Below are 12,963 nucleotides of genomic sequence, written 5' to 3' on the forward strand. Positions count from 1 at the left end.
TGGTACAGTTTAATTGTATCGAGGTAGCTAGAAGTTTGAAGAGTATTTTTGGCCCAGGTATGTATGATTAATGATCAAATGGAAGACACCAACAACAGGAATATTTCTGTATATTCATAAAATACTCTTTAATATGATATAATAGATATAATGTGATATATAATAAAGTACATACCAAAAGGGGAGCAAGTGAACAAAAAGTATATATTATTATATAATTAGTAAAAATGTTATGATACAAAGCATAGAAAAAAGAAGCACCAAAATATGTTTTTATTTATATAATAATTTTCTTTCTTTTTTCTTTTTTCTTTCTTTCTTCCTTTCTTCCTTTCTCTTTTTTCTTTCTTTCTTTCTTTTTTCCTTCCTTCCTTCCTTCCTTCCTTCCTTTCTTTCTTTCTTTCTTTCTTTCTTTCTTTCTTTCTTTCTTTCTTTCTTTCTTTCTTTCTTTCTTTCTCTTTCTTTCTCTCTCTCTCTCTCTCTCTCTCTCTCTTTCTTTCAGACAAGGTCTCACTCCATTGCCAAGACTGGAGTTCAGTAGTATGATAAGGGCTCACTGCACCCTTGACCTCCTGGGCTCAAGCAATCTCCTCCCACCTCAGTTCCCTGCATAGCTGGGACTATAGGCACGTGCCACCACACCCAGCTAATTTTTAAATTTTTTTCTAGAGATAGTATCTCACTACGTTCCCCAGGCTGGTTCCTATCTCCTGGACTCAAGCGATTCTCTCACCTTGACCTCTTAAAGTGCTGGGATTATAGGCATGAGTCACCGCACCCAGCCCAAAACATAGTTTTAAAAAGTGGATGAGATCATTGTCCAGATTGTAGTTAATTAATATCAAAGAGGCAAACACACGAATGGCCTAAGTAACTTATTACACAGAAAAAGGCATATTCTTACCAAAATAAGTACAAATCAACCTGGGGGAAAAAACAGTAAAAATACAAACACAAAAAAGTCATTGAATATTTAGAAGTGGGTATATCGTGGTAGCCTGGTAACTTGGTTTTGTCACTTGGAAAATGAACTGGCAGTATACAATGAGACCTACAAAATAGTTTATAAGTTTTGATACTCAATAATTTCACTTTGGGTTGTATATTCAAAAGAACTAATCGGAAAGGAATAAATATATAATTGTGAAACATTTGAAGCTACTCATGTTAAGTAATGAAGATGAAGTGAGAATGATTTTTAAATTGTTTACATTATAGTGTAGTATGAAAAGCCTTATTATATATTATCTCCTTCAATCCTCAGGGAGGAAGCTGTGACAAAGAGCTCACATAACTGGGACTGGAAACTAGGAGTCCTGTCTATGCAGAAATAAGACCCAGACTTAAACCTGGCTACATCCTGTGTCTTCTGGCTGTGGGACTTCAGCCCCCTTCCCAATATCTCTGAGCAGTAGTTTTCAGATCTGTAAATGGATCACAATGCTCAGTCTCTATGGCTCCCAGGTTTTGAGCAATAAATGAGATAATGCACGTGGAAGTGGAGCTCCTACCATGGGCCTGATAGGGCAATCACTGGGGTTGCAACTTTCTGAAAATGGGTCTTTAAATGAATCTTCAAACTGCACACTGAGGAGCGGGAAGATTTGGAACACGTTTAATCAGCAAGGGAGCAATGAAAGCAGAGACCAGTGGCAATGAGGGCCAAGTTAAAACAGGGCGGAGTGGAGTTGTAAAGAGAGAAGTAAAGTGGATTTGTTTGCACTGCCTGGGAAGGAGTAGGGTACAGAGGGGATTCAAGGGCACGTGCTTGTTTTTTTTAATTGAGACATTATGAACATCTCAGAACAAAAGCTTTGGGCTTTGGTAAGCTCCACCAGACACCTGGTTTAGGGCTTTTTCATTCCCCAAGACTCCTCCTCCCTTCCATGACACTCCTCCCTGGGACACATGCTTGGATTTGGCTCTGGAAATGCCCCGCCCCACCATGAAACCATCTAGTCTTTTCCCCAGGTTACTTCTCTTGTAGTCACGCAAAATCAAGGCTGAGGCTCCCTGTCACGACCCTCGGCACTTCACCTGAGTTCTAGGAGCCACTTTGGCAGTCCTCTTTCTGTGCCACCAATGGGAGTGAGGGGTGAGCCTGGCAGAGACACACATGCCACCCTGGGCTTTGTGACAAGGCCTGGACTCTAATGGGTCAAACCCAGGGCAAAGGCCATCCTCCATCTAGGTAACGAAGTGTTCATGACTCTGTGACAGCCAGGACAAGGGCAGTAAGTTTGCAGTAGAATGACACTGCAAATTGGTGAACCTTAGTGTAGGGTACGTCCCAGCCGGGCTTTAATACAGAGCAGCAATAATGACAACAACATTGCGTGTGTGTGTGTGTGTGTGTGTGTGTGTGTGTGTGTGTGTAAAACTGGTGCAGTCCTATCCATTGTCTGATTCGATCATGAGTGCCACATCCTCCCCAGACTTGGGTTAGAGTAGACCCAGATCCCCAGAACCCTTTTAAACCTGGGTGATTTAGAATTCAAACTACCATCACTTCTCCAGACTAGATTAAATGCCACCTGGACTGATCAGATCCAACATCCTACCATGAGTCTGGTATTTTCTTTGCTATTTTATCTAGATAATTCTTATTTAATCCTTTCAGCAATCCTAGGAAAAAAATATTCTTATCCCCATTTTACAGAGAAAGATAAGGAGGTTCAGAGATGTTAATAACTTGCTCCAGGTCACAGAGCAAATCAGCCGTGAAGCAGGTTTCAAATCCAGGTCTGCTTGACTCCAAAATCGATACTCATGCTACTCCGATGCATGCTACAGAGAGTTTTTCTGGGCCAGTAGTGGGAAGAAGGTAGAGATTTTTGCAAAATTGTCTTAGGGACCCAGTATAGAAGTATGCCACTAACTTTGGGGTTTCTGGACCACTTCCTGATAAGGGGCAGAGTTAGATGGGATGCCGAGGATGTCTGTGTGTTCTCTATGTACACACAGCAAGACAGACATTTTTTCCTTTAACATGTGTTTTGCTTTCTATAGAGAGAATCCTTTTTCTGACAGTCACTTTCTTTCCAAAGCTTAGAACATCATAGGCTCTTTGGCAGAGAGTACAGCTTTCAACAAGAAAAAGAAAAGTTTTTGGCCACTCTGCCCCCTTGCAGTTCAAGTATAATTCAAAATATCTGCTTCTATTTGTTTGCCTTTTGCAAAACCTCAAGGGTGATTTTGAAATAAATAGGAATAAAATATTTGACTGAACCAAAAGAGCCCAGTACCTGGCCATCCGAAAGTATTTATTTATTTGTTTAAACATTGCTGGAGTAATAGAAAATTTAAATGCAGTTATCAAAGACCAAAAGTTCAGAGATTAAATACTATGTTAGAGTCATTCCTTCTAATTAATTTTGAACTGTTTTCGAAAAACGAAGAACTTGCTGGGGAGACAATGATCAAGATCGTAACAAAGTTCCCCTAGAAGATTAACAGAGCTTGGAGTTTACTGTGGATCTCTGCCTGTGTGGAGAAGAAACAGTCAAACTAGAGGAAACAAAACTGTCTCTATAGACAAATTAAATTTTAGTGGATGTTCATGTGCACAGGTGGGCAGCAGCACCTTAGTCTAGTATGTTGGGATTGGGATCAGAGTCTTTTTCCATAAATGCAGCAGCATTGAGCAATATAATTCCATCTAAAATCTTATTGTATATTTTCTCATCTGCTTACTTTTTTTTGTTTGTTTGTTTGTTTTTGAGACAAAGTCTCGCTCTTTTGCCCAGGATGGAGTGCAGTCACACAGTCTTGGCTCACTGCAACCTCCGCTTCCTGGGTTCAAGTGATTCTCCTGCCTCAGCCTCTCAAGTAGCTGGGATTACAGGCATGCGCCACCCTGCACAGCTAATTTTTGTATTTTTAGTAGAGACAGGGTTTTACCGTATCAGCTAGGCTGATCTCAAACTCCTGACCTCAAGTGATCCACCCACCTCAGCTTCTCAAAGTGCTGGGATTACAGGCGAGAACCACCACACACAGCCTCGTTTGCTTACTTTTCAAAACAGCTCTGTGTTTGTGTGCGTGTACATGGTAAAATTTACAACGAAATACACATTTAGAATACATTCAGTGAGTTCTAATAAATGTATACACGTGAGTGCCTCAAACCCTTATCAAGACATAAAGCATTGCCATCACCCCAGAAGCAACGGCTGTTCTGAATTAGTGCATTAGTTTTCTGTATTTTGGGACTTCATACAAATAGAATCATATATAATGTGTAGTTTTTTTGGATAAGGCTTCTTTGACTCAGCCTAATGTTTTCCATTCATTATCATCCATATTCCGTGTATTAATAGTCCATTCCTTTTGATTATTGAATAGTATAACCATTATATAAGTATTCTACACTTTGAGTTGGGTTATTTTCTATTTTCCTATTGATGGACACTTGGCTGTTTCCAGTTTTGAGTCAAATAAAGTTGCTAAGAACATTCTAGTGCAAGTCTTTTTGTGGACACATTTTATTTCTCTTGAATAGATATCTATCAATGGAATTGCTGAGTCATGGGGAAGGTAAATGTAAATGTCAGGGTTTTTTTTCCCAGGATGATTGCCCCACTTCATACCTCCACCATCAAAATATGAGAGCACATGTTTGCTGCCATTAGATATTATCAGTGACCTCTCATTTTAGTTTTAATTTGCATTCTTCTGGATGACTAATGACATTAAGCACTTCATGGTTCTTTACTGGCCTTGTGTATGTCTTCCTTTGTAAAGTGACTGTTCAAATCTTTTTCCATTTTAAAATATTGGGTTTTCTTTCTTTTTTCCTTATTTTTTTTTTTGAGATGGAGTCTCGCTCTGTCGCCCAGGCTGGAGCGTAGTGGCATGATCTCGGGTCACTGCAACCTCCGCCTCCCGGGTTCAAGCGATTCTTCTGCCTCAGCCTCCCGAGTAGCTGGGATTACAGGCAAGTGCCACCACGCCCAGCTAATTTTTGTATTTTTAGTAGTGATGGGGTTTCACCATATTGGCCAGGCTACTCTTGAACTCCTGACCTCATGATCTGCCCGCCTCGGCCTCCCAGAGTGCTGGGATTACAGGTGTGAGCCGCCGCGTCTGGCCAGGTTGTCTTTTTATTACTGAGTTGCCAGTGTGCTTTACGTTTCTTCACATGGTATATATATATATATATATATATATGTGTGTGTGTGTGTGTGTGTGTGTGTGTGTGTATATATATACCCTCTCCCTCAGAGAGTGGAGCCCCAGTTACCTCATCTTTTTGTCTGTCTTTCTCCCCAGAATGATGCCAGGGATTCTTCTTTGTTTGGTACTATATTTCCAGTGCTTCAGATTGCCACTGGCACTGAGTAGGAGCTCAATAAACATTTGCTGAAAGAATCAATGAATAATCAAGTAAACTGATTTTTGGGTCTGATATTCAGACACAATGTTCTTGAACTTAATGGCATTAATTAACAAGGAAATTGAAAAAAAGGACATTTAAATGCTATCCTTGAGGTATCACATATGCTTGGCACCAAGGACACAGAATACCTTCAGGGGACTGGACATGGTGGCTTCTGCCTGTAATCCTAGTACTTTGGAAGGCTGAGGTGGGAGTATCACTTGGGCCCAGGAGTTGGAGATCAGCCTGGGCAACAAGGTGAGACCCTATCTGTACAAAAAAAAAAAAAAAATTAACCAGGTATGATGGTGTGCACCTGTAGTCCCAGCTACTTCTAGGGCTGGGGTGGGAGGATAGCTGGATCCTGGGAGTTCAAGGCTGCAGTGAGGCCTGATTGAACCACTGAACTGCAGTCGGGGTGACAGAGTAAGTCCCTGTCTCAAACAACAACAACAACAACAAAGCCCAAAACAGAATACCTTCAGGGGATTTGTTCACCCAGGGGAGATACTGCTAGACTATCTCATGGAGTGGCCTAATTTGTCCCCATTTATGAGCCCTCTAGTGTAAGCCATCACTGCTGTCTCATCTACCGCATTCTGGGACTATGCCCAGCCACTTCCAAGTCTTGGATTCCGACCAGATTTGCTTAATGGATGAGCAGAACGTCTAGCTTTAGAGAGTTTTAGGTAACTTCACCCAGCTGATCCCACTGTGCCTTTAACCACCTTCCTCTTGGCCCCTTCTGACACTGATAATGCCTGTTCCCTAACCATTGGCCCCTCTGCCTGGCTCTGTCTCACTAGCAGGCCCATCCCCACTCTGTGCTCTGCCTTTCTTAACACCCCTAAAGGGCCACGCAGGAAAGGATGGGACAAGTTGATTATGACATCCCTTTCTAGCTCTAAGGAATTCAATAATTCTGATATTCATCCCTAAAGAAATTTATCAGCAGCTATTAATTGGGCTTTCCTAATTTGACACTGAAAGGCCGGTAGGGTCCCCTAAGTCTTGAAGCCATTTTCCTGGTCCCGAATCCAGCAGATTCCAGCCTATCTGGTTTGGGGGGTGTCTACAGTGAATCATCTGTATTCACATTTATAGAGAACTTTGCCATTTGCATGTTCATATCTGTCATCTTATGTAAACTGCCAAACAGTTCTAGTTGTAGCCCTCTTTAGTTTCTATTTTCCCGAAGTTTCTATTTCCCAAAGCAAAAAGAGGTGAGTTTTCATTTCTTTTTTTTCTTTTTTTTTTTTTTTTTTTTTTTGAGACAGGGTCTCGCTCTGTTGCCCAGGCTGGAGTACAGTGGTGCAATCATGGCTCACTGCAGCCTTGGCCTCCTGGGTTCAAGTGATCCTCCCACCTCAGCCTCTCCAGTAGCTGGGACTACAGGCATATGCCACCATGCCTGGCTAATATGTTTTTATTTTTCATAGAGATGAGGTCTCACTATGTTGCCCAGGCTGATCTCAAACTCCTGAGCTTAAGCAATCCTCCCGCCTTGACCTCCCAAAGTGCTGGGATTACAAACCACTGCTCCTGGCAGAGTTTTCAAAAATCCTCTAGCTCTTGCTAAAAAAAGTTGGTGCTTTCTTAGCTCTGGTGGGTATGCAAGTGTAATATTTAAAAGGCTCATAGATTTTTACAGTTCAGAAACCTGGATTCTGTCTGTCATTAGAAATTCAATTACACACCGCAGACATCTATGAGTAGTTCCTAACCTTTTAATTTAACCATTATTATGGATTTTTTCCCCCTTGGATCACATGTTATTTTCTTTTAAGTCCACCAAAAACTGTATTTATTGGCTCACTTTACCTTTTTTATTCATCAGACTTGTACCTCCCAGTCAGAGTTTAGAATCAGGATCAGATAGTCTCTTACCTCACTAAGCTGATTTTATTACAGCCAAAATAAAGACATTTGATATTTAATTAGCTTCCAAACCTAATAACTAGTACATTTCCATTTCTGCTGGGCTTTTTGAAAGATTAAAAAGTTCATACATTAACCCTTGAGAAAGTGGAAACAGTTTAGTTCTTGTGAAGAAGTAGCCCTGTGTGTTCAGGGACTTCACTCTTGCCGTGTCTCTGATGTCTGAATGGGAGCAACGGGGATATTACTGACTTTAACCCTTTTCACTGCGATCTGGGCCTTTCTCTGGCTCTATAGGGACTGGGGATCAACCACCCCCACCCTAGTATTTCCTCAGCTACTGGAGTATTTGGGTTCTCAGTTCAAGCCTATAGGACTTGGGGAGAACATGCATTCACTGAAACGATGACATTCCTCTAAGGTGCAAATGTTAAAAGGTCATGCAACCAGAACTATTACATAAAATCAAAAATTTTCCAGTTTGAATTATACTCTCAAAGGACCATGATGAGTATTCTAAAGGCAGTGTTTGTTTCTAAATTAATAGAATTAATAAATGTTATTCTGTTTGCCAATTATAGAAGATACAGTTGTTGAAGACTATTAATGTAATATGCAATTGCATTATAATTGTATTATTTAACAGATTGTGTTGCATGAATCAATGAGATATGATGCTGTAATTTAAAAATAATTATTTTATGGAAGCAAAACTGCTTATGAATAACATTAAGTGAATGCAGAATGAATAACTTAGGTATGTAGACTCACAGCTAAGAAAAATATATATACATGTAGCTAATGGCTCAGGGTAATCTGCAGAAATGAAAAAAACTATATTAGAATGGACAAAGGTGAGTCTCTTTCAAAATATTTTTTATATAAGTTGTTACATGTATCAGTTTCGCAATTAAAAGTTTAAGATGGATTTATATTGGCTCCAGTGAAGAATATGTGTTTTATTAATTAATACTGTGCTTGGTTTTGTCTTATTTTATAGGAGAACCAGCAGAAATCCACCAATGTAGTCTATCAGGCCCACCATGTGAGCAGGAATAAGAGAGGGCAAGTGGTTGGAACAAGGGGTGGGTTCCGAGGATGTACCGTGTGGCTAACAGGTATGTCATGTTCATATATATATATATATATACAAATTGCAAACTGACATGTGACACAATTTTATGGAAATTAGTGTAACGTATTACATGCTTGTTTTATCATTAGAAGGAGGCTGGGAGATGTAGTAGAAAGCCTGGGTGTTAGTCCTAACCCTACCATCAGTGAGAAATAGAGTCAAGGTCAACTACAGAAATAAGAGTCTGATCAAGTCAACTGTGAAAGTCTCTAGTTGTCACTTTTCTCCTCTTTGGCAGGAAAGGACGGGACAAGATGATTATGACATCCCCTTTCAGTGCTAAGGGATTCAATAATTCTCATGTTCATCCCTAAACATATTTACTGGCAGTTATGAATGAGGCTTTCCTAATTTGACATCAAGCATTTGGCTGTCCATAAGGTTTTGGATATTTAGAGATATTCGTTATTGTTGCCTAATGTTTTGACATTCTAGGAGACTATTTCACTTACTATATAAACAACAAACAAACATAAGAATCTGTACAAGAAGGAAAACTAGCAATTTCCATTTGGCTGAGGATTGCCCTTGTTTACAGAAATAACTTGCTGCTGCTGAAGTGACTGAATGACTCTCCCTTTTCTTGTGTTTTTATAGCCACAGAATGTCAAAACTGAGAATTAGTGACAGAACTGGAATTAGAACCTGACTCCCAATAGCTGGCCCTAGGCTGTTACCTTGTACTCTGAGTCCAAGGTAGACAAAATTATTTCTGGACTCAAAAGGAAAAACCAAGTTCATTTCATAGACAACAGTTTTCAAATGGAATGAGCCCACCTGCAAAACTATGTTTATTCAGGTTATAAAATGATAATGTTTTCTAACCTGGAGCTCATTCTAAACAATCTGGCAGGTGGGGACCTGCCTTGCATCTTTTCTTGCTGTCCTAAATCTTTGCCCTTTTCTGTCCCAACTGGCCTCATTCTTGTACTCTTCAAGTTTTTGCCTTGTGCCTTTGGTTTCCTGGTTTCATTCATGCCTGGACTGTGCATCGAAACAACTTTCTGCAGCCTCCAGTGCAAGGACAGACAGTGAGCAAGGAACCTGCTGTGCTCTAATATGCACCATCCTTCTGTCATTACTCCTGAAATGTTTACCTCAACTCCCCCCAAGAGACGTAATTTGAGCAGTAGGTACAGCTGTATTCTAGAAGATCCCCTCCTGTTATATGTTTCCCTTCATGCGAAGATCACTGGTGAAAACAACTTTCGTGTTGGGCTATACACACAAAGTCCATTTTCTCTAATGTGACACCCCTTGAAAAGAAAAAGAGAATTGGTAGAAGAGAAACATATCTAAAGGGTATACTTTCTCCTTCTTTACTCTTAAAATGAATTATTTCTTCATTAGAGGAAGAAAAGAATATATGGCAAATTTTAAAAAATCAAGGCCGGGCTTGGTAGCTCTTGCCTATAATCCCAGCACTTTGGGAGGCCAAGACAGGTGGATCACCTGACATCAGGAGTTCAAGACCAGCCTGGCCAACACAGCGAAACCCTGTCTCTCTACTAAGAAGACAAAAATTAGCCAGGCGTGGTGGTGCACGCCTGTAATCCCAGCTGCTCGGGAAGCTGAGGCAGGAGAATCACTTGAACATAGGAGGCAGAAGTTGCAGGGAGCTGAGATCCGCCACTGCACTCCAGCCTGGGTGACAGAATGAGACTCCATCTCAAAAAATAAAAATAAAAAATTAAATTAAATTAAAAAGTCATCTTTTTCTAATTTATTTTTTATTCTTATGTTACAAAGGTAGGCTGTTGACCAGGCAGACCAGAAGAAACAAAATACTTTAAATCCATAGACTCAGATTTTAGCCCCAACTCCACCTCCATGAGCTGTGTGACTTTGGACAAGCCAGTTAGGCTCTCTAAGCCTCAGTTTTCTTATTTGTACAATGGGAATAAAGATAGTACCTGACTTATGGAGGTGTCGATAGAACTAAATCAATAAAAGACAAATGTGCTTTGCACAGTGCCTGGCACATAGTTAAGTTGTCAGTAATTGTAATTAGTGTTACCTCAATGTATGAAAGTACGTGTGCCAACAATCTGGTTACATATACTTACTGTAATTTAGCTCTTTGTTTCCTGAGAGCTGAAGCAAAATGGAAGGACATTCTGTTATTTCTCTCATTTTCTGACATGAGAGAACACACCAGAGATTCAGGAGTGCCACTTCCCCTACCCCACAACCTGACATAAATACTAAGAAGAATTTATCACCTATGTCTTTATTTAAATGAAAAGGAATAACAGAATTACAGACAATACCTTCAAAAATGATTTGATGAAGTTAGTGTTGACACGTTCTTCATACAGCCATTTCTTCTAATGGTCCTCTGTCAAAGCCAAAGGCATGACTTTAAAATATAACTAAAAGTATGGAGACTATTCACCTTTTGCAGATCACCTTCCCCCCCACCCAAATCCTCCTTCCTCTGTCTGTCCTTCATTCCTGCTTTTTCTGCCCTTTTTCCTCTTTCCTCCTGTTGTCTTCTCTGTATGAACCTCTTGGCTTTTTTCCTCTGTCATGCCAAGGTGCTGTCGGACAGAGGCTTGGCACCATGAAATATTCTTAGGTTCAGAGATCTTTAAGACAAAGATCCTAAAATCCTAAAGGACCCATTTTTTTTTTTAGAGTGCTAGCCTTTAGGGTAGTTCAGATTTAAACTGTTAAATAATTTTGGCAGGTTGTGTTTCTTTCCCTTCTTATGTTCCTCCTCATATGGAAATTACAAAGTGTGTTCCTGATCATTGTGCTTTGAAACCATGGTGGAAGCCACATGGTAACTCTTTTCTCATATAAAGACTCTAGAGAATCTTTACACCTAAGAGTGTGACATATGGCAGCTCTAAATACATCTGCTCCCTAGCTCAGGCCGGCTTCCTGTCTTTATGTTTTGAGAGTCATTTTGGAAACATCTAGAAGCCAAAGGACAGCCTGCGGGCTCTGTAAGACGGTTGTTCAGTGGCATCCACGAGGGAGGTGGACTTACCAGTCTCCAGGGGCTGGCTGTTTCCCTCCATTCCAGCTGATTGCTGACTTTGAAGGGGATATGAGACCACTGTCACCACATCTTTTGATTTTTTCAAGAGAATACAGAATCTGGATTTGTATACACAACTTCCTTTTTGCTTTGGAGACAAGGCCTCGCTCTGTTACACAGGTTGGAGTGTAGTGGTGCCATCACGGCTCACTGCATGCAGCCTTGACTTCCCAGGCTCAAGGGGTCTTCCTACCTCAGCCTCCTGAGTAGCTGGGACCACAGGAGTGCACCACCACACCCGGCTAATTTTTTTTGTTTTTTGTAGATGCAGGGCCTCACTATGTTCCCCAGGCTAGTTTCGAACTCCTGGGCTCAAGTGATCCTCCCACCTTGGCCTCCCAAAATGCTGGGATTACAGGCATGAGCCACCACCATGCCCAGCCTGTATGACAACTTTCTAATCTTTAAAACACTCTGCAGCCCAAACAGAACACATCGAGGACCACATGTAGCCCCCAAATCTCCCTATTTATGAAGCCTGCTTGCTTTGAAAAGCTATAATCCTAACACAGGACAAATAGTTATTTCAAAATTTGAGAGAAATGTAAGTACTTGCCTTGTAGTCAACTACACTGATTTCTTTCTTTCTTTTTTTTTTTTTTAAGATTTAGTTATATTTAAAATTACTAGATTAGTTCACAATTTGTCATCTTAAACTATCCAGGCCGATGTCAGTCTGTTTTATCTGTTCTGAACAGGTCTCTCTGGTGCTGGAAAAACAACGATAAGTTTTGCCCTGGAGGAGTACCTTGTCTCCCATGCCATCCCTTGTTACTCCCTGGATGGGGACAATGTCCGTCATGGCCTTAACAGAAATCTCGGATTCTCTCCTGGGGACAGAGAGGAAAATATCCGCCGGATTGCTGAGGTGGCTAAGCTGTTTGCTGATGCTGGTCTGGTCTGCATTACCAGCTTTATTTCTCCATTCGCAAAGGTAAAAAAAAAAAAAAAAAAAAAAGGCACTACACACGATTCCCACACACAGTGCAAGTGCTCTCCAACTGCTAGGGGAAGGAATCGGAGAGGGAGGGCATAAGAATGTCTCCTTTCAATTTCCCGACTATTTCTTCCCCCAATAACAGGCTCTCTCATTTCCTCTATTTAATATTGGTTATATAAAGGAGTTCCTTCCTTTCCAGATGCCAGGGCACCAGTAGACATAAACCCTTCCATGTTCACAATTATAAGGAACATTTGGTGAGAGTCGAAGGGAAGAGAAAGTTAAACAAGAGAAACTCTAAACCTCTGTAATTTTAGTTGTCGGAAAAAGGATCTAGTTAAAGAAAAGAGCAGTTCATGGCCAAAGCTTCGGGTTCTATGTGTTTAATGCTGACATCACTGAGATGGAGTGTCACTCTTCTTTTAAATCAGGAAATTTCTGGGAGCCAAACATCAGATGTAGCTTAGAACACATCCTTTGAATGAAATGCTCCCATATGGCCAGTGCTTTCCTGCTAAGAGGGCCTATTTTCCATGATTTTCTGTGAAAGTCCTTGAGAGAGCTGTGTTTACCAGAGTAAAATTTCT

At 40.7% G+C, this 12,963-nt stretch overlaps 1 protein-coding gene across 2 annotated transcripts in view; it reads left to right on the forward strand.

The window, feature by feature from the left end:
• PAPSS2 (3'-phosphoadenosine 5'-phosphosulfate synthase 2) overlaps positions 1 to 12,963 on the forward strand; it is an 87,828-nt gene that overhangs the window by 41,063 nt on the left and 33,802 nt on the right. For both annotated transcript variants that reach the window (NM_001015880.2, NM_004670.4), the window contains exons 2-3: positions 8,256 to 8,373; positions 12,135 to 12,370. In NM_001015880.2, coding sequence (NP_001015880.1) covers positions 8,256 to 8,373; positions 12,135 to 12,370 — 354 coding nt within the window. The remainder of the gene's footprint in view (positions 1 to 8,255; positions 8,374 to 12,134; positions 12,371 to 12,963) is intronic.

Source organism: Homo sapiens, chromosome 10 (assembly GCF_000001405.40).
Source record: "Homo sapiens chromosome 10, GRCh38.p14 Primary Assembly".
In the NCBI taxonomy this organism is placed as follows: Eukaryota; Metazoa; Chordata; class Mammalia; order Primates; family Hominidae; genus Homo; species Homo sapiens.